General features: G+C 34.8%; 1 protein-coding gene across 43 annotated transcripts in view; it reads right to left on the bottom strand.

The window, feature by feature from the left end:
- The window catches only part of CHD9 (chromodomain helicase DNA binding protein 9), a 272,507-nt gene that overhangs the window by 63,196 nt on the left and 185,941 nt on the right, over positions 1-23,370 (bottom strand). For all 43 annotated transcript variants that reach the window (XR_007064921.1, XM_047434707.1, XM_047434693.1 and 40 more), the window contains 8 exons: positions 21,286-21,462; positions 18,823-18,966; positions 18,452-18,707; positions 16,799-17,009; positions 14,236-14,431; positions 9,697-9,864; positions 8,523-8,702; positions 1,205-1,315 (listed from right to left, as the gene is read on the bottom strand). Coding sequence is in view for 42 of the 43 variants with exons in the window: in XM_047434707.1 (XP_047290663.1) it covers positions 1,205-1,315; positions 8,523-8,702; positions 9,697-9,864; positions 14,236-14,431; positions 16,799-17,009; positions 18,452-18,707; positions 18,823-18,966; positions 21,286-21,462 (1,443 nt within the window). In the remaining variant the exon portion in view is untranslated. The remainder of the gene's footprint in view (positions 1-1,204; positions 1,316-8,522; positions 8,703-9,696; positions 9,865-14,235; positions 14,432-16,798; positions 17,010-18,451; positions 18,708-18,822; positions 18,967-21,285; positions 21,463-23,370) is intronic.

Below are 23,370 nucleotides of genomic sequence, written 5' to 3'. Positions count from 1 at the left end.
TTATTGCTGCAGGGCCGATTCCTGAGTGCATTAAATATTCTTCCAAAAAAATTTAAAATTATTTTTTCTAGTTATAAGAAAAAATTGTTTAACATTCTGATTTGCATTGCATTACATCTACATAACATTTCTATGTTTACAAACGAACTATTAAAATGTTTAAAATATTCCCAATGGACACATCTCCCAACCAAATTTCACTTTACAGAAATCAAACACAGCTTTCTTTAGGTATATTCTTAAGTGTTCTATATCTTTTTTTTTTCTACTGTGAAGTAGATATCCTATTACATTATATTTTTCTATTTCTGTTAGTACTGATATTTAGGAAGGCTCAATGGCATATTTATCTTCTATCCAGTTAATTCACTAAACTCACTTACGAACTTTTATAGTGTTTTGCAGACCCCACTACTTGTTTAGGTATATGAACATGCCATATGCCAATAATATTTTTATAATTACCTTTTCACGTTTACCTGTTTCACACAGAATTACATATATTTCCAAAATGCATTCAACAATAATACTTATGGATGGTAGTGGTGTTACTCCTAATTGTAAAGCTTTACATTTTAAAAGGCTATCAACAAAGATCCAATGCATGAGTGCTTAATATAAAATTCCTTTAATCATCTAGCTGTTATTTTGATAATTGGTAAGACTGAAAAACACTGATTTCTATACAATTATTAGACAAGTGTGTCTTAGTAAATAAGCAGTTATGCTATTATTATCAGTTCCATAAAGTGAATTTTAGCATTTTGACCTTTTCTTAGCTCAAGGGAAGTCATAAGAGAAGCAGTTTAAAAAATGCCACTTTCTTGACTGCTTTTTTTCTCCTCTTATTTACATTTTACTAGATTATCATTAATGGGTTCTGACACTAAGAAAACATTAAAGAGAAAATAAATGTAACCCATGATTTGAAGACATTAAAAAATTTAAAAAACATATTATAATTTTAAGAATGTAAATTATATCCAAAAGTTAAACCTTCCCTGTAGGGATAACCCATCATGGGAGATATTAGATGTATTAAATTGGAGGAGAACCTCACTCAGTTCATTCTGCTACCCTACTTCAATTTATATATCTAGAAATTTGTTTTAGTAACTGCATAATTGAACACCTTAAAATATTACAATACTATTGCCAAAGTATCCCAAAAGCAAGTTTATTTTAGAGGGATAAAAATACTTACTCTGCCACTGATGGCCTCTATATCTATTTCTGCCTTTTTAGCCCATTTTTGCCAGAAGTTGGGATCATCTAAAGAAATATCTGTCCGGTTTCCAGATGCCACAAAACTCGCCTGAAATATATAATGGCAGTTTTAGAGGAAAAATCTATCAAAGTACACTTAAAACATTATCTCCTCACATTTACTATGGATAGAATTTGAATTCTGCATACTCATACATCAAAGGGTGTTTCAAATTCAGTGGTCTGAAACACAGCACTGCATCTGCTTAAGGCAAAGGCTTAATGCAAACACAGGCTGAAGTTTAGGAGCAGAATTAAATAAGTTATTACTGTTGGTTAACTCTGATACTTTTGGTAAGGACTGAATCTTTTTGGTGGGGAGGCTACAGAGAATGGGGGTATGGTTTCTAAAAACATTACAAGACCATTAAGAAATTAGGTTAGAGAACAAGAATTTCCAAACCTGCCTGCACTACAGAGTTAATTTTCTGGTATATTTCTAGTTTATTTTCATCACATTTTCAGATAGTAATATCTCCTAAAGGAAATATAACACAGGATATGGGAAATAAAGGAAAATAAATCATTGTCATTTTAAAAACTCTTTTCCCAAACACACACAAAAAAGAAACTCTACCTTACCACAGAAACACTGCATAACCACTGTAAAAATTTAAGAAAATATTGAGGAGCAAAAGAAGAAAATACAAGTGATTTATTTTCGTAAATACTGTGGAAATTATAAAATCTTTTAGTTGGAAGAAACTCTAAAGATAACACTTCAACTCTTTAACCTGTGTTCTAATAACCATTATTTACAATTTAAATCACTGTAAATAGGCCTCATCAAAAAATGTCATCAAAATGCTTTATAAAAATGAAAGAAGCATTGAAGATACACAATGTGTTAAGGGCCTGAAAAATATATGTGAATTTTTATAAAAATAAATAGAAGAATATGGTCACATAAAACGATTTTCAAAGGAGACTAGTGGTAAATGGTTTTAAGATAATGCCCAATTATCAGGGATACAAACAAAAGGTAAAAATCTTAATTAAAGAAAAAGTCTTGATAAAATTTAAAAGATCCAGAAAAATCCCACATTAAAAAGATAAAACTGTTAAAAGCAAACAAGCCATTTTTTGATATTCAAGATAACTGTCAGTTTAAGCACTAGATAATTAATACCAAGGAATTGTTTCATTTTATTTTTAAATGTGGTAATAGTATTGTAGTATGTTTTAAAAGTCTTTATTTTTAATGATACATATGGAAACATGTAAAGGTGGTGATTATATCTGGGATTTGCTTCGAAACAGTATGAAAAAGTGGGAGGTGGTGATGAAACAAGTTTAGCATGAGTTGATAACTGTTGAATACTGTCTGTATTTGCAGTTTAAACTTTAGAAAACATCCAAGGCAGGCATGGTGGCTCACGTCTGTAAATCCCAAAACTCTGGGAGGCCAAGGCAGGAGGATTACTTGAGCCCACAAGTTCAAGACCAGCCTGGGCAACATAGTGAGACCCCATCTCTGTAATAATTTCTTTTAAAATTAGCCTGAGGTGGTGGTGCACACCTGTAGTCCCAGCTACTTGGGAGGCTGAGGTGGGTGGGTCACTTGACCCCAGGAGGTTGAGAGGTCAAGGCTACAGTGGGCCATGATTGCACCACTGCACTCCAGCCTGGCGAGAAAACAAGAACCTGTCTAAAAAAAAAAAAAAAAAAAAAAAAAAGTCTAAAACACCAAAAATTAAAAGGCTAAATGCTTCTTGCTGAACTTCAGATTCTGTTCATGTTATTGCTTACCAGGTAATAAATGTACTCATTCATTCAATCTAGTATTCTTTTGAGGTTTGGCTTTTAAGATGCTTATATAAAATAAAGCAAATGTTAAATACTGTGTTTCAAAATGTACATTTTGCGCATATTTATTAAACAGAAATGACAGGAACAAATGTTTTAATGAAATGAATTTAAATTCCCTTTTTTTTTTTTTTGCTTTCTCTAAACTATAGCTTTAATATAAAACTACTGAAAAACTAATTTTGTATTTCTTTGAACTGATGAATGTGATAAACTGAATAATGGTCCCCAAAGATACCTCATCCTAATCCCTGGAACCTTGTGAGTTTTGTCTTATATGGAAAAGGGACTTTGCAGATATGATTAAGTTAAGGACCTTGAAATAGAGAGATACCTTGTATTATCCAAGTAGGCCCTAAATGTAATTATAAATGTTCTTACAAAAGTGAGGCAGTGGGAGATTTGACTCTAGAAGAGAAAAAGGATATGACATGACAGAAGCAGAGATGGGAGTACTGTGGCCGCAAGCCAAGGAATGCAGGCAGTCTTAGGAAGTGGAAGAAATAAGAAACAGATTCTCCCCTAAAGCTTCCAGAATGAACCAGCCCTACTGACACCTTGATTTTATCCCTGTAAGACTCATGTTAGACTTCTGACACCTAGAACTATAAGAGAAAAAGTTTGTGTTGTCTTAAGCCATGAACCTCATGGGCTTTGTAATAATTTGTTACAATGACAACAGGAAATAGCATCAGACACTCTTAACGAGAAACCACATATTATAAAAACTCATATTCAACTTTTTTTTTTTGAGAAAAGGTCTCACTCTGTTGCCCAGACTGGAGTACAGCTGTATGATCATGGCTCATTGCAGCCTCTAGCTCTTGGTCTCAAACAATCCTCCTGCCTCAGCCTCCCAAGTAGCTGGGACAACAAGCATATGCCAGCTTGCCTGGCTGAGTTTTAACTTTTTTGTAGAGATGGAGTTTCACTTTGTTGCCTAGGCTGGTCTTGAACTTCCAGCCTCAAGTGATCTTCCTGCCTTGGCCTCCCGAAGTGTTAGAATTAGAGGCGTGTGCCACCAGTCCTGACCTTCATATCCAACTTGAAAGAACAAAGACTAACTAGTTTGATAAAACAAAACAACACAGCTATCATTAGCTGTATAAAATAAGTATGTTAAAACAATTCATCAAACTGGTATAAATGAGTATGAGGAACAGACATCTAACTACGTGCAAGTAATTCCTTAACTATTTCAGAACAAATTTTTCACAACTGAGGATATATGATACTTTAATATCTTCATTATTATAAACATATCAATTTTCAGGAATAGTGAAGTTTACTGAATGACATTCATAGGGTTTTATTCTGTTCTACAGTTTCAGTGATACATGCCTCTTGAGATTTAACCAATCTGGTAAATGAGTATTTGCCTTACGTGAACTGGAGAACATTTAACATGAAAAGCAGGCTGGGCATAGTGGCTCATGCCTATAATCCCAACACTTTGGGAGGGTAAGGTGGGACGACTTCTTGAGCTCAGGAATTTGAGACCAGCCTGGGCAACAAAGTAAGACTCCCATCTCTATTAAAAAATCAAAAAATTAACTGGGCATGGCGGCATGTGCCTGTGGTCCCAGCAACATGGGAGGCTGCGGCAGGAGGATCACTTGAGCCCAGGAAGTCAAGGCTGTAGTGAATCGTTGATTGCACCACTGCACTCCAGCTTGAGTGACAGAGTGAGATCTGTCTCAAAAAAGAAAAAACAAAAACCCAACAACAAAAAGCAAAAAACCATGAGGAACGATTAAACATGAAGTAATTGAAAGGACACAATCAGATTTTAAAGTGTGTTACTTTTTGGTTGTTTACCTAAAAAAAAATTATATGCTACAGTGTATAATAATTTTTATTCTGCTATCATATAACTATTGATAATGTAAAAAATTTACCTGGAAGAAATTAAATTTCAGAATTAAATAGCTTTGTTACATTCATTATAAGACAAATGATAAATTTAATTTACAAATAAAACAATTTTAAATTTCTAAACAATTCAAGAGGCTTTTGCTAACTGACATATATAACCTATTTACAAGATAGCTTACATGATTCTCAAGGATTGTGACAAGCAATTATGCCTATAGAAATAAGATGCTACTCCTTCCAAATACTAAATCCTAATATCCTAGTTCCCCCTAAATTTTTCTTCTTAAAATGCATTCCTTCCGCCATTAAATCTCTGTATTATTTGCAAGAGAAGATTTTAAATTGCGAAATCCATCTTCCTATGACAGACAGTGGCAGAAAGGCAGAAGGTGCCAACTAAAGGCCCTTACAAATAAGCAATCCATCTGAAGCACAATTTAGATGGTTTTCTTTCCTTTGTAAATTAAGCAATTCAAAGTATTTTGTTCTCTATCAAATTTTTAAAAATCAGACTAGAAACGTTTCTTTTTCTAGGACCCACCTGGCTGCCCTTATAAAAATCTCTCAAAACAAGTTTTAGGGGATATCATCACTTGAAAATGAAGTTACCAATAATGAGTTCTATCTATTTGATGTATATGTACTAAGTCTGAATAGTCTCATAAGGACCCTGTTCCATATATGTAGCTCCTTATTAAATACTATTTGATAATGCAAAGAAACAAAGAATGGAATTATTTTATTTCTTCAGATTGTTGAAAACAGTTGAGCAGAGCTGAAGTCTTTGGGTCGCAGGAAAAAGTGTAAAATACTACTAACTTTACACCATATCCCATTTTGGCAAATGTCCAGTATCTAATAGCATTCCCATACAACTATGGGAATGAACAAATTATTTGGGAAATGAACAAATTATAAAACAACTAGAGCAACCTCTCAACTCTCCTCAGCATTGTGGTACCTTATCAGTTTTCAAATGTGATAGTTACTCTCTGGTGTGAGGATTTAAAGTAGATATTCAAATGTTTAAGCATTTCTCAATTCTCAGAGCATTAGAGTATACTTGAGTTCTCTAAGGAAAATAAAAGTTAGATAGCACTGTATAGTAAAGTAGGAAAGGCCAAGTACGATTATTATGACCTCCTCTTTAAAGTAAGACTCAAAGAGGTTAATTGTTCAAGGTCACTCAGCTTATGAATCAGAATTCAAAACCTATTTTTCTGACTTTCCATGATCATTATCATTAACATGTTAAATAAGGAAGCCAAGAATCACATGTGCTCATTAAATGCTTTGTATATGCCTTCATTAATTAAAAACAAAACAAAACAACAACTTTAAGGACAGTATCTCCATGTTTGGCCTAATCAACAAGGACAGTAACCATGACCACCTTTTGATATTAATTAGATTTCAGATATGAGGAAAAATATTTCTGTCCATAGAGTAGAGAACCAAGGAATCAAAACTAAGTAAGATTTCCCAGGAAAAAAACTAGAGCCGGGGTACATCTACTTAGTCATGACTAGTTTTAGTTCTCAGTCTTATACTTTACTTCTGCAATGTTCCTTTTGGAAACAAAAGGAACTACTTTTTTTCTGATTTATTCTCTACTAATTTCCAAATCTGTATCTGTGTCCCAGGCAACTCTCCTAGACATCTCCATTTGGATCCTGTAAATGTCATAAATACAACAGCTCCAATACTTTCTTTTCCCCATATAAATGTCCTTCTCTATCTTAAAGACAACCATGACCCTCCTAGCTACTTAAGCAAAAAATCTTCAAGTCATTTCTGACTCTTCCTTCTCAAAATTTCTAACTGGTCATCTACACCTATTGATTCAAGTAGGTCTCCATGACCCTGGTTCACCCATCATTATTTCATACACAAGTCCCTTAAATAATCCTGTTTCTAGTCTTTCCCCTTTCCAACTTGTTCTCCATGCTGCTGCTAGAGTTAAATTTCTAAACCAGATTGCATTATGTCCAATTTCTGCTTGAAGGACTTTAAAAGCTTAACTGCCTTAGGATCAATTTCAAATTCCTCAAAATGGCACATAAAGCCCTTCACAATTTGGGTTCAACTTCCCTAACTCCTTCACCGTTTCATCTCCATGTAATTCATCTCCTGTATCCATACATGCCTATGTCACATTCCTGAAATATTCCTTGTAGTTTAGCAACATATGACTCATTTAGCTGGCTTTTTCTTTCTCTTTGTAAAACAATGAAATTCGCAATTCCCTCAAGACTCAGGTTGAATGTTCTTTTCTTTGCAAAGGCTTTCTTTATTCAGAATATACAGAATTAATAATCTCCTACTTTATTTTTTTTCAGCAACTATAATCCTTTCATTTTAGTATTCCTGGCATTTAGCAAAATACCTGACACAAGAATTTATTAGTCTGCTAAATGAATGCAAGTGAGTTTCTATTTGAAGGCTGGTATCTTACTTTGGTACAGCACCTGTACTTCCTGCTATACCACAATATTCCCCATAAAGATAAAGAAAAACTTCTGGATTGAAAGCAGAGAGGGGAATGGGGAAGAAGGGAAATGTAGAAAGGAAGTTCAGTGGAAAAGAGAAAACTTGTATGTAGTTTTCTGCAATTAGTGCAGGTGAGACAGAATACTCCAATAATAAACTATTCAGATGAATGGAAGAGGTAAGTTTATCATGTCTTGATTTGGAAAAAAAAAAAAAAGGAGAGAGAAAGAAAAATGGAATATGGCCAGGCATGGTGGCTCATGCCTGTAATCTCAGCACTTTGGGAGGCCGAGGCGGGTGGATCACCTGAGGTAAGGAGTTTGAGACCAGACTGGCTAACATGGCGAAACCCCGTCTCTACTAAAATTACAAAAATTAGCCGGGCATGGTGGTGGAGGTTGTAGTAAGCTGAGATCGTGCCACTGTACTCCAGCCTGTGTGACGGAGTGAGACTCTGTCTCAAAAAAAAAAAAAAAAAAAAAAGAAAAGAAAAAAGGAATATAAAGGCAATTAGTAAACTTTACAAATATTATCGCCTAACAGAGTATAGAGTTATTAATGTTTCCTTCCAAAATACAAATTTCATCTTACCCCTTAAGACTTAGATACTCCTGACCTCACGTATCCACCCGCCTTGGCTCCCAAAGTGCTGGGATTACAGATGTGAACCACCTCGCCCGGCCAGATTTAAGTATTTAAAATGAAATAGGAAATTTTCTCTCTCCTTTAGGTTCTTCAAATTATGAAAGTTGATGTAAGCTGATTTAACCTCTTACATTACTTACATTTTGTTCTGCCTTTGGTATATACAGATGTTTAGTTTCTAAATTTCTTTGATTTCATATGTTCTACTCTAACATTTAGAACCATTTCTAGTTATTACATTTATTCTGTTTCACAAGGATCAGAAAAGTTCATGTGAAATTAACATAAGGGATCAGAAAAAAATGAAGGAAAATACATTACCTACTGCATCTTGGCTAATTCAGTATGTTTAAACATTCGGTATAAGAGATAATTAAACTTTCTCAGTAGTTAGGATGTGAACATCACTGCTATGTTAATAAAATTGCACCCACTATTACCTTGGCAAATGTTGACCCACGTCCTTCTGATTCAATTGTAATAGTTTTTGTACGACGTAGTAAAATCTGATCGATATCCTCTTCGCAGAATTTAGAGCCTTCATCTTCTTCCTCCATAATAGCACCATAAGCACCTCTTCGAAGCAGATCTTCTATTTCCTTTTTGGAAAGCTGCTGAATCTAAGGAGAAATTAACTTCCATAAAAATAGTTTTTTTTAAAGTTCATAAAGTGAGAAAGTATCCCTAAAGGATGTCAAAGAACACAAGAGGCATGCTTAAACTGCATTTGGGTTTGGGATGCGCATAAGAGAGAATTCACAGAAATAATACATTGAAGTTGTTGACTCTTCTTTGCTCTGTTAAAATAAGAATTACCCATCTGCCTAGAATGGCTTTGGTTAAAACAAGGCCTAAGGGTTGGGTAACATCTTTCAAGGTTCTTTTCTTTATTTTTTATTTTTTTTCTTTTTAAGACAGGGTCTTGCTCTGTTATCCATGCTAGAGTGCAGTGGTGTAAACACAGCTCACTGCAGCCTTGACCTCCTGGACTCAAGCGAGTCTCCTGCCTCAACTTCCCAAGTGGTGTGGACCACAGGCATGCACCATTATGCCCAGCTAATTTTTATTTTTTATAGAGACAGGGTCTTGCCATGTTGCCCAGGCTTGTCTCAAACTCCTAGGCTCAAGCAATCCTCCTACCTCAGCGTCCCAAAGTGCTGAGATTACAGGTGTGAGCCATGTGCCCAGCCCAGTACTAGGATCCTATTACCGATAGATATTAGGCAAGAACCTTGAGCGAAAAAAAAGCCAAAATGTCATCATTTATAACAAGACAAAGCCAATGCTAGTAGATTGACACTAAAAAAAGAATTTGAAAATTGTTTATATAAACACAAATTCTATTTTGCTATGCCATCATACAAATGTCCTAAAAAGAGAGCAAAGAATTTCTATCTTGAAAATACATTTAGAATTCATAAGCTCTGGAGCTACACAGAAAGAAAAGGATTCAAAAGTATTAACTAAACATAGCTCTGTCCTGAAAATGTTCCCCTGCAGAAAACAAATGTGTTTAGTATTCTGCATGGACCAAAACTAAATGACACACTATTGGAGGTAAAATCAAATGCAAAAACACACAAAAATCTCAAGTGAAAAAGAAACTATACATACACCACCAACATTACTTTCTCTTCCACTCATGCTCTGTAACACAGCTTTATCTAGGCCCAGTTTCAAACTGGCTCGGTCAAACATCTCTCTCTCATATGAGTTACGAGTTACCAGTCTGTAGACTTTAACTGCTTTGTTCTGACCAATTCTGTGGCAACGAGCTTGGGCCTATAAAAATGAAAAGTTACATATTTAATTAGTTTCTCAAAAGGCATTTAATAGTAAACTATATGTATGGCATATAAACACATACAAGAATTCTTAGACCATTTTTATTGAATTAGATATAACCTTTTTCTAGAAATTAAGGGAGAGCTTACCACAATGAGAAATAATCCCACAATCAGTAGTAAGTTAAAATTTAGGTTTATAAGCTTAAATATCAAAGAATATAAATTCACAAAGGACTATTTTTTTTGTTTGTTTTTTGAGATGGAGTCTTGCTCTGTCACCCCAGCTGGAGTGCAGTCGTGCGATCTTGGCTCACTGCAACCTCCGCCTCCTGGGTTCAAGTGATTCTCCTGCCTCGGCCTCCTGAGTAGCTGGGATTACAAGCACCTGCCACCACATCTGACTAATTTTTGTATTTTTAGTAGAGATGGGGTTTCACCATGTTGGCCAGGCTGGTCTCGAACTCCTGACCTCAAGTGATCCACCCGCCCCAACCTCCCAAAGTGCTGGGATTACAGGCATGAGCCACTGCGCCTTGCCTTATTATGTTTTAACGGAAGTGTAGTCAGTATACTTTTAGGCAGGGACACAAAACCTATGAACAGATTTTATAGTTGATGGCAACTCAAGTTTTTTGTTGTTTTTTTTAGACATGGGGACTTGCTATGTTGCCCAATCGAACTCCTGGGCTCAAGAGATCCTACCACTTTGGCCTCTCCAAGTACTGGGATTACAGGTGTGAGCTACCACTCAAGTTTTAAAGTCTAACGCTAAATTTCTAAATTTTTTTCAATTACATTATCAACAATCTTTTCAATATATTTTATTTAAGCTGGGTACTTTTTTTCCATAAGTTATTGGGGTACAGGTGGTATTTGGTTACATAAGTTCTTTAGTAGTAATTTGTGAGATTTTGGTGCAACCATCACCTAAGCAGTATACACTGCACTATATTTGCAGTATTTTATCCCTTGCCCACCTCCCACTCTTCTCCCCAAGTCCCCAAAGTCCATCATACCATTCTTATGCCTTTGTGTCCTCACAGCTTAGTTCCCACTTATGAGTGAGAACACACGATGTTTGGTTTTCCATTCCTGAGTTACTTCACTTATAATAATAGTCTCCAATATCATCCAGGTCACTGCAAATGCTGTTAATTCATTGTTTTTTATGGCTGTGCAGTATCCTATCATATATATATATATATACACACACATATATACACACCACACACGCACATATACCCACCACAGTTTCTTTATCCACTCATTGATTGATGGGCATTTGGGTTGGTTCCACAATTTTGCTATTGTGAATTGTGCCACTATAAACATGTGTGTCCAAGTATCTTTTTCGAATAATGACTTATTTTCCTTTTAGTAGATACCCAGTAGTGAGATTGCTGGATCAAACAGTAGTTCTACTTTTTGTTCTTTAAGGAATCTCCATACTGTTTTCCATAGTGGCTGTACTAGTTTATATTCCCACCAGAAGTGTAGACGTGTTCCCTGTTCACTGCACCCACGCCAACATCTTCTGTTTTTCGATTTTTTGATTATGGCCATTCTTGCAGGAGTAAAGTGGTATTTCAATGTGGTTTTGATTTGCATTTCCCTGATCATTAGTGATGTTGACCATCTTTTCACATGTTTGTCAGCCATTTGTATATCTTCTTTTGATAATTGTCTATTCATGTCCTTAGCCCACTTTTTGATGGAACTGTTTTTTTTTTTTTTTCTGATTTGAGTTTGTTGTGTAGATTCTGGATATTAGCACTTGGTCAGAAGTACAGATTGTGAAGATTTTCTCCCACTCTGTGGGTTGTCTGTTTACTCTGCTGTCTGTTTTTGCCATGCAAAAGCTCTTTAGTTTAATTAAGTCCCAGCTATTTATCTTTGTTTTTACTGCAATTGCTTTTGGGTCCTTAGTCATGAAATCTTTGCCTAAGCCAATGTCTAGAAGGGTTTCTCCAATGTTATTTTCCAGAATTTTTATAGTTTCAGGTCTTAGGTTTAAGACCTTAATGCATCTTGAGTTGATTTTTGTATAAGATGAGAGAAGAGGATCCAGTTTCATTCTCTAACATGTGGCTTGCCAATTATCCCAGCACCATTTGTTGAATAGCGTGTCCTTTCCCCACTTTATGTTTTTGTTTGTTTTGTCAAAGATCAGTTGGCTGTAAGTACGTGGGTTTATTTCTGGGTTCTCTATTCTGTTCCATTGGTCTATGTGTCTATTTTTATACCAGTACCATGCTGTTTTGATGACTATGGCCTTACAGTATAGTTTGAAGTCAGGTAGTGTGATGCCTTCAGATTTGTTCTTTTGGCTTAGTCTTGCTTTGGCTATGCGGGCTCTTTTTTGGTTCTATATGAATTTTAGAATTGTATTTTCTAAATCTATGAAGAATGATGGTGGTATTTTGATGGGGATTGCATTGAATTTGTAGATTGCTTTTGGCAGTATGGGCATTTTCACAATATTAAGTCTTCCCATCCATGAACATGGGATGTATTTCCACTTGTTTGTGTCATCTATGATTTCTTTCTAAGCTGGGTCATTTTTTGGGGGAAAAAAAACCACCCAAGGTAAATAACTCTGGATATCTAAATTTTATTTAAATGAAGGACAAACTAATTAATATGCATACATGTTAAAAGTGGAGACATCAGAGATCACATAAGGGCTTCATATTTTATCTTGAGTTCTGACTAACCTTAAACTTTGTATGATAAATCTTGACTCCAAATATTCTACAGAATCTAGTTTTTCTCCCAAATTATTAATCACCTTTCCATTATCTTCAGACAAATTAAATCATAAAATGTGGCTTTAAAATATATAGGGGGCACTAATGTTCTGCCCTTCATTGACACTTTTATTCTATCCACATCCATTTTGTGCCATTTGGAACCCAGGACTGTAAATGGGCAACTTTGCTCTAGGTGTAGGGGAAGTACAAGAGGCCAAATATTATCTTAGTCTGTAACAACTGGATCTACATTAGCAGTCAAATAGGAAAAAACAAGTGAGAGGGAGAAATTGGGAGATTCAGGATACTTTCTCTTCAGGTTCTATAAAGTGACTTTATTATTTTAAATTAACTTTTAGAACATCCACTATGGGCACTTATAAGTACAAACATGCATTTCAAAGGCAAACAATTATGATTTGGGTTTAATGTAGGAATTGGGAAACTACAGCCTGTGGACCAAATCTGGCTTGCCAACTAAGAATGGCTTTTTTACCTTTTTAAAGGATTATGACAAACAAACAAGAATGTGTGACAGAGATCTTATGTGGCACACAAAGCTTGAAATATTTACTAATTGAGCCTTCCACAGAAAGAGTTGGTGGTCTCTGGCTTATTAATTTTGGATAATCTTTTGATATTTTAAAGTAGATTACATATAGTTACATAAATAAGCAATTTAAAATATGTTTTAAGCTAGGTATATTCTCAATAACCATTTATTATATTTGTTTTTATGCTTGTTTAAAAATATAATATGGCTGGTCTGAAGGTAGTTATTTAATGGGTTGTTCAGAGCTACAGATTGAACTCTACTTTTCCCCTTCTCACGACTACACTTGACTAGTTTTATAAAAAAAAAAGTACTAATATGAATTGCAATGCAATTAAGACTATGATGAATAATAAAATAATTTCTCTTATATTTTGTTCTCTTCTCATATCCTTCTGCAAATTTAGACTCTCTTTGATCACTGTAATTAATATTCCTATATTTCTATGTAGTCCAAGTATAGTCTTACTTATATGTGTGCCTTCATTTTCTATTTTATTAAAAAAGCATACTATATTATGATTACAAGATAAAATCAGAATAAGCGAGTACTTATTTTTAAGGATTAAAATTCTGAAATTTTAATTTTATTACAAATAAATTATTCTTAAAGCTTAGGTCTCTCTCAAGTTTACATAATATTCTTTAAACTATAAAAATATCAGGCCAGGCGTGATGATGCGTGCCTGTAAACCCAGCACTTTTGGAGGCCAAGATGGGAGGAATGCTTGAGTCCTGGGGTTCAAGACCAGCCTGGGCAACATAGTGAGACCTCATATCTAAATAAACAAACAAAAAGTACTGTACTCAATTAGGTATAATTTTTTATAAGCTAGTAAGACATATAAGTTAGTGAGACATATAAAAAAGTAAAAATTTTTGTCATTATAGTTTTTATCATAACAATTAAAATAACTTCACCTATTTTATTTGGCACAGATATTTCATAGAGAAACATACATTAGTTTGTCCAGATAAAAATAAAAGATGTGGATTACCAAAAAGTTACACAATTTTACTTTTTTAAAAAATGCATTTTTTGTTAGCCAAGGAAATTATTTACCTGAAGATCATTCTGAGGATTCCAATCAGAATCAAAAATTATACATGTATCAGCTGCAGTTAAGTTGATGCCCAACCCACCAGCTCGGGTACACAGGAGAAAAACAAATCTATCTGAATCAGGTTTACTAAATCTATCTATAGCAGCTTGCCGAAGATTTCCTCTGACTCTGCCATCAATTCGCTCATATAAGTATCTATGGAATGAAATGGAATAAATTTACATAAATAAGTATAATAAAACTGAAGACATATTCTATCAAATGTAAAGTCAGTTTTCCTGCAGCATTATGTTTTCTCTAAAATTAAGAAGCAATATCATCTCAAGTAGTTTCTGTGACTTTATACTTTTTGGTGTTGGTGTTAAGGAGAAAACAAAAACTAATATAAAGATACAAAACCTCTGAATTCCCAGATGTATAGGTAAAAGAACACTACAATAAATTTTATTTCAGAAGTTAGAATAACAAAAGGCAGTCTATAAAAACTGCTTTGCTGATCTCATCATAATATATTACTTTTTTGCAAGAAATACTTTCACAAAAACTTTATACAAGAAGGCTATGAATGTTTCTTTTGTCCTTAATCCATGTTACTCTCGACTGACATACTTGCTTCTATATTGCAATCTATTAAGAATACACTGGAATGCTGTTGAATTCTTTATAGTCATTACTGCAAAGTGATTATCTTTTAACTTCCTTTATCCTTCCCCATTTAACATATACAAAACTCAAAAACTGCAAGACATCAAATAAAAATAAAATACATAAAAATTTAGGAGCTTGGACTCTAAGTGGTATACATATGACATCTGACACACTTCTACATATGATTTACTAGAGTTTTAGCAGTCTCTCCGCGGTTATCTCTGGTACCTGCAAAATGGAGACTTCTAATAATGTTTGTTATGACAATAAAGAAACTCTGAATTTTCCATGAAATTTATTACAACAGAAATTGATAAGTAATTTTATCTGTATGAAGTTCTCCACGTAAGAAGATTAAAAAAATATAAGAATTACTATTTTTGGGAACAGTGCAACTTAATGTTCGTATCACATGATATAAAATTGAGAATACTATACATTTTAAAATGAGGCTAAAGAGTAGGACATTGACAATAAAAATGGAACTAGAAATAAAAATGAAAAATAAAAATGAACTACATAATCTCTAATAATATAAATCAGTATAGACCTTTACTTATCTATATGGGTTAAAATCTATTGAATTAAAATCTGCAAGCCAGGTGCAGTGGCTCATGCCTATAATCCTAGCACTTTGGGAGGCTGAGGTGGAAGAACTGCTTGAGCCCAGGAGTTTGAGATCGGCTTGGGCAACACAGTGAGACCCTGTCTCTACCCAAAATAAATTAGCTGGGTGTGGTAGTGCATGCTTGTAGTCCCAGCTTCCTGGGAGGCTGAGGTGGGAGGATTGCTTGAGCTCAGGAGTTCGAGGTTGCAATGAGCTATGATCACACCACTGCACAACACCCTGGGCAACACAGTGAGACCCTGTCTTCAAAAAAAAAAAAAAAACAAAAAAAAAAACCAACAAAGCAAAAACAAACAAAAAAAAATAAAATAAAAAATCTATAGCTGAAATTTCTGATTCTCTTTTACATTAATATGTTACTATCAGATGGAATCCTAATGGTCTGATAAAATATCCTACGATAATTAGCCTATTATAGCCTAAATACTGATTAGACAATTTTTTTTTTTTTTTTGAGACAGAGTTTCGCTCTGTCGCCCAGGCTGGAGTGCAGAGGCACGATCTCGGCTCACTGCAAGCTCTGCCTCCCAGGTTCACGCCATTCTCCCGCCTCAGCCTCCCGAATAGCTGGGACTACAGGTGCCCGCCATCATGCCCGGCTGATTTTTTGTATTTTTTTTTTTTTTAGTAGAGACGTGGGTTTCACCGTGTAAGCCACGATGGTCTTGATCTCCTGACCTCATGATCCGCCTGCCTCAGGCTCCCAAAGTGCTGGGATTACAGACGTGAGCCACCGCGCCCGGCCTGATTAGACAATATTTAACACTATCTTATTGTGATGTACCAATAAACAAAACAAAACAAAAAACCCACATTGAAACAAATCAGAAAAAATTAAAGCATGAACAAATTTTATATAGTATATAATAAGAATAAAAGTCCCACAACTTAAGGCTCTAATTATAACAATGAAATAGATCCAAAGTTCTTGAATCACTTTTTTCAATTTTGAAGATGACTGTTGTAAATATATATCTATTTAAAGTTTCATCCACAAGGTTTATTAATCAAGTAAAATGTACATTTTTAAACCCATTCCTGGGTAAACAAATATTTATTTGCAAGCTTTTCTTAATTGGACTCCTCAGGCACATCTAATATTGCAACATATGCAGGTTAGGAAAATATAACACATAATCCTAAACAATCTTTACTTATAAATTTGAATGCATTATTCTAATCTAGCAAAGAGAAAGATATGAGTAAAGTTCATTTACATTACAGTGCTGCACAAATCTTAATAGCATATACTTAGCATAATTCACAGTAAATTCAGTATGCTTTACCTTTTATGTATGAGATAGTCCTCCAGAATGTCAAGGCAACGAACCATTTGAGAGAAGATGAGCACTTTATGACCTCCGGCTTTCATTTTGGGAAGCAATTTATCAATAAGGACCAATTTACCAGCAGACTGGATCATTGCTTGAAGATGAAAATCAGAAGCAGCTGGATTGTAAGTATCTCTAAATTCTCCAAGTATTTTCTCCTCAGCACCTGTCAAAGAAATAGGAGAAGATAACAGCAATGTGCAAATGCAGGAAATTCCCAATTGCTTTCCTTTTAATCACAATTAGTGCTCCTGTGTGCTTCTGTAACATAATTTTCTAATGGCATGTACATTGCTTTTATTAGAATTATTTAAGCTTGTTGCTGAACCTCCACCAATACCAGACTGTAATTCCATTGAGGACACAGACAAGGTCTTAAACATCTTTTTGTCTCCTCAGATACCTGGCATAATGCCTTTTATAAATTTATGTTTGCCAAATGTTTAATGAATGTTATTAGGGAAAAAATAAAACTGTGGTCCTAACTCAGTTGAGTAAACACATATATTTTTAAATATCTAATATTTAAACAGCAATCATAACAGTGGTCATCACTGAAGGATGATCATAGTTGATCTGGATGTGTCTATGGGCATCTTGTTAGCCATCAAAACAAGGAAACAAGAAAAAATTAAGGCTAGGTGCAGTGGCTCGTGCCTGTAATTTCAGCACTTTGGGAGGCCAAGGCAGAAGGATTTCCTGAGGCCAGGAGTTTGAGACCAGCCTGAGCAATATAACAAGACCCCATCTCTACCAAAAAGAAAAAAAAAAGAAATCAGCTGGGTATGGTGGTGCATATGCCTAGTTCTAGTTACTAAGGAGGCTGAGGCAGAAGGGTCAGTTTCCAGGAGCTTGAGGCTACTGTGAGCTATGAACACACCTCTGTACTCCAGCCTGGGTGATAGAATGACACTGTATCTTAAAACAAAAACAAAAACAAACAACAACAACAAAAAAACACAGAAAAAGAAAGAAAGAAGAGAATAAATTAAAATGAAAGCCATGTTACAGGTGCTTGATGCATACTTCCTTCGGATAATCCAAATCAGAATTAAAGAGGCTCTCTGTATTCCTTTCCTCAGCCTGTCTAGCCATAAGAGAGTACTGTAACTACAAGAGACTTCAGTTGTCTTGAATAAAGTGAGTAGAGAGGCGTATATTCCCAAGAATAAGTGAAAAACCCAAACATTGTACAGAGAGAACACTGGGAAAGAACCTGATAAGATCTTAAAAAGTAACATTATTACAGCACAAGAATTGAAACACTAACTGATGTATCTTGACTGGAAGGAAACCAGGAAAAAAATGGCAATGCAGAAGCCCCAAAAATGGGCTTTGCTGTCTTTGCCTATGAGGAGGATTAAACAAGAGGACAAATTCTAGTCCAAATTATACTGAACAAACTGCTGCTGTCATAACCTGGTGTGTTAACATCAGTCACTGTAACAAAGCAGTTCACATTGCCTCTGATTCTGTAACACTTGTAATTCCTTAGAATATCACAGTGGAGAGTCATAACAGCCACTACAGCTGTAGTGTGTTCTGTTTATTTATTCATTAGTATTTGTTGCAAGAAAAAACATATTTGTTGTAATCTTTTTTAGCTACCTTTTATAAGATATGGATGATTACAACATTTCCTGAGCTCCATCATGGTATTGACCAAGTTAGGTACATTAGTTTGTCCTGCTCCTTTGGATAAAAAAGAAAAGTTCTTTTCCAAGATAGCCCGGTAGTATTTCTTTTGAATATTAGTAAGTTCTACTTCAATGATGGTTTCTTCTTTAGGTGCCAACTTCTTTTCCACATCTTCTTTTAATCGTCTCAACATCATTGGTTTCAGGATAGCCTGAAGTTTCTGTACCTGAATAAAAAATGATAAAAAGACATATAACATAAGTGAGCATTTAATTACACATACAAAATAATTACAATGATTAGAAATGCGATGAATGTATTTACAAAGAGCAATAGGATACCTGTTCCTCTGTTTTCAGATCCCCAAATTCTTGCATAAATGTTGATTCAGAAGGAAACCTTAAGGGTTCAAGAAAGTGAAGAAGACTAAATAGTTCTTCAACTGTATTTTGGAGAGGGGTGCCAGTCAAAAGCACCTTGTGTTCCTACAAAAAGTGAGAACAATTCACATCAAACATCACAGTACTAAAATTATATGAAAGCTGACTTAGATTATCGAATGATCAATATGCAAATATTTTTCTGACTATATATACATATATATATGTTATGTGTGTGTGTGTGTATATATATATATTTGTTTGTTTGTTTAGAGACAAGGTCTTGCTGTGACACCCAGGCTGGAGTGCAGTGATGCCATCATAGTTCAGCATTACACATACAACATAATTACAATGATTAGAATAAATTACAGTGGTGCCACTGTAACCTTGAACTCCTGGGCTTAAGGGATCCTCCTGCCTCAGACTCCCGAGTAGCTAGGACTACAGGTATGCACCACAACACCTGGCTAATTAAAAAAATATTTTTTTGTAGAGATGAGATCTTACTATGTTACCCAGCTGGTCTCGGGCTCCAGGCCTCAAGTAAGCCCAAAGTGCTGGGATTACAGGTGTGAGCCACGGTACCCAGACTCATAATTTTCAAGAGTTAACTCAAAAAACTACATCTCTACCCACAAATCTTTAGGAATGTACTTTCCCAATCGCTTTTTAAAAACTCTGTATCATTCTGAAATGCTTCACTTTGTATGCTATTCGTGCCTTTAAAAATTCTAAATAATTTTAGAAAAAAAGAAAACATTCTAAGAACAAAGAGGGCATTTTTTCTTTTGTACTCAAACATTCTTGGTATGGTAATTTGTATACCAAAGAGTGCTCATCATTTATAATTTGGATGATCATCATTTAACTCTTTAAACATGAATGAATTATCAAATCACTGAGGTTACAATCCAAGAACGTAAAGGTCTAATTGAAATATGCTTTGAGGCCGGGCGCGGTGGCTCATGCCTGCAATCCCAGTACTTTGGGAGGCCGAGGCAGGCAGATCACGAGGTCGGAGATCAAGACCATCCTGGGTAACACGGAGAAACCCCATCTCTACTAAAAATACAAAAAATTAGCCGGGCGTGGTGGTGGGCACCTATAGTCCCAGCTACTCAGGAGGCTGAGGCAGGAGAATGGCGTGAACCCGGGAGGCAGAGCTTGCAGTGAGCTGAGATCATGCCACTGCACTCCAGCCTGGGCAACAGAGTGAGACTCAGTCTCAAAAAAAAAAAAAAAAAAGAAATATGCTTTGAAACTACAATTCCTTAAAAATTAAACAGAATAGTAAAAGAAGAAAATAAACATAGAATATTTTTAATGGTAGTATAAATTATTTAAAATTTTATTTGACAAAACCTTTAAATTCCCATGCTAAATATTTGTATATGTATCTGCGAATCTGCACATTATGTATATGGCAGCAAATGGCCCAGAAAGATAAACAGGAAACCATACTGGAATGAGGTGTTGAACTGGGTGTGTGGCATAGATGGACAGGGAGTAAAAAGGAAAACTTTAAGTTTTTACAGAATGTGGTTCTTTGTATTTGAATTATTTGTTCAAGTGCTCATGTAATAATTATGTGATCTTAATTAAAAATCAAAATGTTTAAAAAATGCTTTCATTTGAAAGAAGCAAACACACTAACAAAAAGATGACTATAAGAAATCCCACTATTAATTATAACCAACATATGTTAAACATGTAGAAGTGTGTAGGACTTTTTACCATAAATGATCTGAATAATATAACTTTGGTAGAGGGGCTTTTTATTAAGTAATTCATGGCTTAAAACTTATGGTCTTAGTCTACTAAAAATACAAAAAATTACAGGCTCACGCCTGTAATCCCAGCACTTTTGGAGGCTGAGGCGGGTGGATAACCTGAGGTCGGGAGTTCGAGACCAGCCTGACCAACATGGAGAAACCCCATCTCTACTAAAAATACAAAATTAGCTGGGCATGGTGGCACATGCCTGTAATCCCAGCTGCTTGGGAGGCTGAGGCAGGAGAATCGCTTGAACCTGGGAGGTGGAGGTTGCAGTGAGTGGAGACCGCACCACTGCACTCCAGCCTGGGCAGCAAGAGAGAAACTCCATCTTAAACAAACAAACAAACAAAACAAAAACTTACGGTCTTATTTTCTTTTAAATAGTACATACTCTATAGAGGTCTCATTTTAAAAATTAATTACTAATGCTTTTTGAAGGAAAGAGCTAAAAAATTTGAAGTCGTAGGAAACAGAATTTTTTTTCTTACAAATTAAGGCCCCCCAAAAAATCTCAATTATCACAGATAAGATTCAGATGTACTACACTCTAAAATTAAAAAGAAAAATTTTTAGCATTAACTCTATAACCTTTCACTATACATCTAATAAACTCAATTGTCATAATGATAATATTAAGTTACTTACCAGATTCATGAGTTTCAGGCCCTCTAAGAGTTTACAATTTTTATTTTTTAACCTATGTGCTTCATCAATAATCACACATCGCCATTCAATTGCATTAAGCTCTCCACAGCCTCCAAGAATCATTTCAAAAGTGGTGATGATGGCTTGGAATCTGTAAGCTCCTCGAATGATACGCCCCTAGAAATGATCAAATATAATTATTTGCTGGAATATTTTAATTGCATATTTTTTATTCCTGTCAAGTGGCATCAGATAACATCTGTTATAAAACATTTCTAATGAAATTTTTACATATGCAGACACTCCCTTACAATGAAAACTTTTATCATTGAAACTGTATTATATTGCCGTGTTCAATAATCTTGTTAAACATTATGCCAACATAATTATATTATTCATAATTGTATCCTAATAAGTATTTCTTGGTAAAATGTTGTATGATAATTTTTAAGAATTATAATAATTTTGGGCAAGAAATAATCATGATAAAATCTGGCCAATGAGATTTCAGTATTAGTTCTTATTACTTACACCAATGAGTTCACAAATATAATAGCAAATAAATAGTGAATAATTAGCCATCCAAATACTTTATTCAGCAGATATTGAGTATCTATGTGCTAGACCCTGTTCTAGTTGCTGGAGATATAGCAGTAAACAAAACAGATAAAAATAATTATCCAATTAGAACTTATATTCTACTGAATCAAATGCAGGACATAGTTATTAAGAAAATAATTTTTTAAAAAGTAAGTTAGAGATAAGGGCTGTGGAATAAAATAAAACAAGGATGTGGGATAAGAAGTATAAGGTTGGAGGTGACAACTGCAGTTTTTGTATAGAGTGGTTGGGAGACCATTATTGCGATGTGGTATCTGAGGAAAGATCTAAAGATGAGGGAGGAAGTCATGTTGATACCTAGAGATCTATAAAAGAAAGCATTCTTGGTAAAAGTAGTAGTAAGTATGAAGGCCCTAAGGTAAGAGTATCTTTGGCAGCATTCAGATAACAGCAAGAAAGCCAGAGTGTTTGAAACCCAGTGAGTTGGGGAGGGGATGCAGCCGACTGCGGGACTTGAAAACTGTGATAACAGATTTTGGCTCTGAGCAAGACACTATTGAAGGGATTTGTAAGAAGTGTCCTGATTTGACATAAATTTTTAAAAAGTCCCTTTGGCAGTTGTGATGAAACCTGTCTGGAGAGGCCAAGGACAGGATCATGGAGAACAGTTAAAAAGCTGCCATAGTAATGCAAGCAAGAAATCTTCATTGGAGTTCATGAGAAGTGGTCAGTTCTAGATACATTTTGAAAGTAGAGCCAACAGGATTTCCCAATGGATAAGTATGGAGTGAGATAGAGGAGGGCCTCAAATTTACCTCTAAAAATTTTAGCTTGAACAACTGGAAGTTCATGTTGTTATTTACTAAAAAGAAGTAGTTTTGGATTTTGATTTTGTATGTGTTAATTTTGAGACATCTATTAGACATATCCATGTGGAGTTGTTAAGAAGGCATTTGGATATGACTCTGGAATTTAGGAAAGAGTTTACACTTGGTGATACAGGCTTAGGAATTTCAGCAGTACAGATGGTATTCAAAGTTATGTGTATGAATCAAATATGTGAGATAATGAGTGCAGACACAAAAGAGTCTGAAGACTGAGCTCTGGGTTACCCCAAAGTTTAGATATAGGGAAGATAAGAAGGAACCAATAAAGGGGGCTTGAGAAACAATAAGTGGTGATGTAGGACAGGATGAAGTCTTGGAATCTAAGTGAAGAGAGTGTTTAAACAGGGTTGAAAACATAAGCTATTGGGTATTAAGTGAAAAGAAGGGATAAGAACAGTTGGGTGTTCTTAGATTTTAATTAATATTAACCTAATTAATTTTAGGTCAGTTAATATTAATTGTGTATACTGGCCATTAAGTTGAATAATAGCTGCAGTAGAATATTATTAAAATAGGTATAAATTATAAATCTCTGGCATTTATACAGCTCTAAAAACCTGGGATATAATATATTCAGTTAAGTTGATATCACAGTGTTTAATAACAAGGGCTCTTGAATCTGATTGATTTGAGTTTA

Source organism: Homo sapiens, chromosome 16 (genome assembly GCF_000001405.40).
Source record: "Homo sapiens chromosome 16, GRCh38.p14 Primary Assembly".
Lineage (NCBI taxonomy): Eukaryota > Metazoa > Chordata > Mammalia > Primates > Hominidae > Homo > Homo sapiens.
This window is presented reverse-complemented; position numbering and strand designations above follow the sequence as displayed.